Source organism: Homo sapiens, chromosome 11 (assembly GCF_000001405.40).
Source record: "Homo sapiens chromosome 11, GRCh38.p14 Primary Assembly".
NCBI classification, from domain to species: Eukaryota; Metazoa; Chordata; class Mammalia; order Primates; family Hominidae; genus Homo; species Homo sapiens.
In genome coordinates, this window is record NC_000011.10 from 116,729,881 (window position 1) to 116,733,626 (window position 3,746).

The 3,746-nt window shown below is 54.3% G+C and overlaps 1 annotated feature.

Moving 5' to 3' along the window:
- Positions 3,054-3,103: a silencer, noted in NCBI's record as "silent region_3921". NCBI's record gives its function as "represses an Ori minimal core promoter by ATAC-STARR-seq in GM12878 lymphoblastoid cells {active_cell/tissue: GM12878}" and the evidence as "EXISTENCE:reporter gene assay evidence [ECO:0000049][PMID:35858748]".

Genomic DNA, 3,746 nt, shown 5'->3' on the forward strand with positions numbered 1-3,746 from the left:
GCAAGTCACTTGGCTCAGGACACTGACTTAGTTTCTATGTGCCCAGCAGAGTCAGGGAAACTTGGACCCAAGGCAACCCTGAGGCCCCAGGCAGCATCATATACCTGTCTATCCTCCCTGGGACCTTTCAGCATTGGGGACGTGCCCTGTGTGTCGCTTCACTAAACCCTGAGGAATATGCCTGGCTGAATCAGGATGTGCCCACAGTTCCTCACCCAGGGGCCTCCTCACCAACACCCCTGACCCACACCTGAGGACTTAAATGACAGAGGTAGCAGCGGGCAAAAGGCCAGTGGAAGGCGGCAGAGAAGCTTTGCACAGCACCTGCTCCTCTATGGTGTCCAGCCTTTCCCCAACCCCAACCCACCCCTCCTCCTGTGCAGCCAGCTCCAGCCCCAGCCACAGAGCAATAAGGAGGAACTGGAGAAAAACCGAGGATCCAGCACAGACCGCCCAGGCCCTGGCCACCAACTCCTCCACCCCTGGCAGCACGGAGCCCCATCATCAGGCGCTAATTAAATCCCCCTAATGAGGAAATAAGGATGCAGGAGCCAGCTCCGCCATGGCCTCCCCGGCCCACCGCTCTCGCCTCTCCATCGGACTTATCACTCGTCACAGGATGTTTACAATAATTTTTAATTTGTGCAATTATTAATCACTTTTCTATCTGCCTCATTTGCATAATAATTAGTCATCTCACTGTTTGGCATGCCTGTGAATGACAGTGTTTTAAATTGAATTAAGATTTTAATATTCTATTTTCCTGCTTTCTTCCCCCTCCACACGCTAATCAAAGTCAGATTTGGCAGCGAGAGAGAGGGTGGGGAGGAGGTTGGCAGGCTCTGGACTTGGCCCGCTCTGCGCTCCCGAGAACTGTGCTAGGAGGAGGGCGTGCCTGTAGAAGGTGACAGCAATCCCCTCTCACCCAAATCCTGGCTCTTGAGGGGTTAACCCAGCCTTGGCTAATTGAGTAGAGGTAATGAGTGAGAAGTGGGCAAAGGCAACTGGGGAGGGAGGGAATCACACTGGCTCAGTGGCACCAGAGACCAAGAAAAGCACTTTCATTTATTTTTTTTCCAAATAGGCTGCTTTTTACAATGGGAAGTTGGAAAGCATATTACAGGTCTGTAATTGATCCCCGGTTACTAGTCTAGGTTAACTTTGATGGCTCAGAGTCCCCCAGGTAGAAAAACGCAGGCTGGCGCAGCCTAAAACCCATTTCTATTCTTCAGATGTACTGAGAAAACAAATCTCTGCAGTTAAGTTTGATTCCCCTTCCCCCTCTCCACACACCAACAAGGCCCTCTGCCCAGGCTGGACACCTAACAGACATGTACCAGGGGGTGTCAGATTTCCACTGACAAGGGGCCAGGAGCAAAGGCAGACTGCCCTCTGTCGGGGCAGCTGTGGGTTTATGGATCTCTTGCCCTCCAGCCCTCTCCTGACCACCCCAGGAATTCAGCTCTAGCCTAGAAAACGCCCTGCTCCATCCCGTCTCCCGCTGCTGCTGCCTCGCGTGTTGCCATGGCAATCCCTGTGGCTGCCTGGGATACCCACTGCTGCTCCAGAATTCTCTGCTTAAGCAGGGCAGCTCTCCCGCAGCCTGTGTGAGACACCGCCCTTTGCCATGGTATGATCACCAGCACGTAGCCTGGAAAGCCTGATACTGGCCTCTCCCTTCAGGTGAGCAGGGAGAGAAGATGGGAGAGAGGGGCTGGTACTGGGCAAGCAACTACAGGTCAGGCCACAACAGCTTGCGGGGCCAGACTCCAGCTCAGCAGGTCATGCTTCCCCTGGCCAGGGGAGCGGAGGGACCCCATCCTGGTACAGCAACCCCTTCCTCCCACAAGGATCAAGGTCTCCCAACTGCAAGAGGGGTCAAGGGAGGGAAAGTCTCCCACATGGGGAAGAGGAAATGAGGTCTTTCTGCCAGAGTTAGAACTGGGTGAGAGGAAGGAGGGCTAGAAGATTCCAGGAGCCCTTCCCCTTCACAGGACTCCAAGGCTGGTCTGAATTCCCCCCTGCAAGTCAGGCAGAGAAACTGTCAGGCATTCCTTGGGTCCCCTCTGGCCAGGGCATCCTGGGGCCGACCCATGAGTCCTCCTGCCAATGTATCCAGGAAGGCCAATAATCCACCCAGAAAGGCACCAGCCTCAGAGCTGGCAGTGCTAGGAAACTGCTTGCCCAGTCTTTGCCTGAAGGGGCAGGAACAAGAAGTGTCAGAATTCAGGAAAGGCACAGTCCAATCCAGGATGATGGGGAGTTTCTGAGAAGGTAGGCCCTGGGACTTTGGGCTGTGTCTCCCACCCAGACTAGAGGAAGCAGGCGGCTTTCTTATCCCATTGTGCGCCAGGCCCAGGTGAGCAAATCTGGTACAATCACTACTCAGGGGACCTTAGCCCTGTACGACAACCAACTTCACCCACCACAGTCCCAGCATGGCAAAAGGAGCTTTTTAGATAGTGAGGCACATAACAAGTGCCGCAGCAGCCTCTGCTGGCCGCCTTAGCCTTCCACACCTGACGCACGGCCGAAAACGCCGGCGGACCCTCGGAACTATGCTTACCATGAGTCCCCGCTGGCCCGGGACAATTCTGGTCTACAGCTGTTGTCTCTGCATAATTACTAATAGCAAGCACACACACCCTTCACTCTCAGAAGCATCCCAGTTTGGACAATAAATTCAGTGGCCTCTAATCGCAGCCAAGCGCAGGATCCCAGCAAGCCAAGCGAGAAGGTGGAGAGACTGAACATGGAGATGAAAAGCCTTCTCTCTGGCCTCAACCAGGGATAGCTGCTCCCTTTCAGTCATCACCAAAGGAGGAAATTCAGAGTCCCCAGCCCTGGGCCAAGACAGATGCATCTGGGTAGTCACACCTGAGGGAAGAGGGAAAGCAGGTATGCGGGCCGGGGCGGAACTAGGCGGAAGGAGGAGAAAGAAGGAAGAAAGAAGAGCAGGCGCAGCTGGAGGGTAGGAAGCATGAAGGAAGCAGAACGCTATGACTCCATGTGTCCAGCAGGTGGCTACACTGAGCGGTCTGTATCGGTCCATCCCCATTGCAGCCGGGCAGCCCCATCCAGCTTGCCTTGTAAGGCTCGGGGTGTGGCTTCCTGTCCTTCTGCAAAGCCCACCTAAGTCACAAAGCCCCTCTTTCCCCTTTACCCTACTTTTCATTCGCTTTTCTCCGAATGACTCCCTAGCCTGAATTACAAAATCACGAAGACATTTCACAAACCCCCATGCCCTCACCCCGCACAACCCCGAGAGACAAGAAAGAGACGCCAGAGCAGTGGGCTCCGGGGTAGTGGGATTCCTGGATCGCTTCCTCCTGGGCTGGTGCCTGCTTGATGCAGGGCTCCTCAGAAACCCCCTGGTATCTGCCCACCTGGGTTGGGAGTCCCTGAGTACAGAGGTATAGGGACCACTGTGGTTTTTTGTGGTGTGGAAGTGAGGTCATAGAAATCAGGGAATTTCTATATGTCTGTCATTCAGAGAAGTTAATGCAAATTAGCTGCAAAGTAAAAAACAAATGTACACTATTTACATCAGAAGTCAGCAGTTATGGCATTTGGGGGATCAGGACAGCAGCAACAGTCCACACTCCACAGGGCCTCATGAGGTAGTGAGAAGAGGGAGCCCCAGGCTGGTGCGGATGGGTTTTCCTGCACTGCTGCCCACCCCTGATTCCCCAGTCCCAAGTCACTCCAGGTGAAGCAATGGCCATATGTGTGGGAGGGAGGGGAAG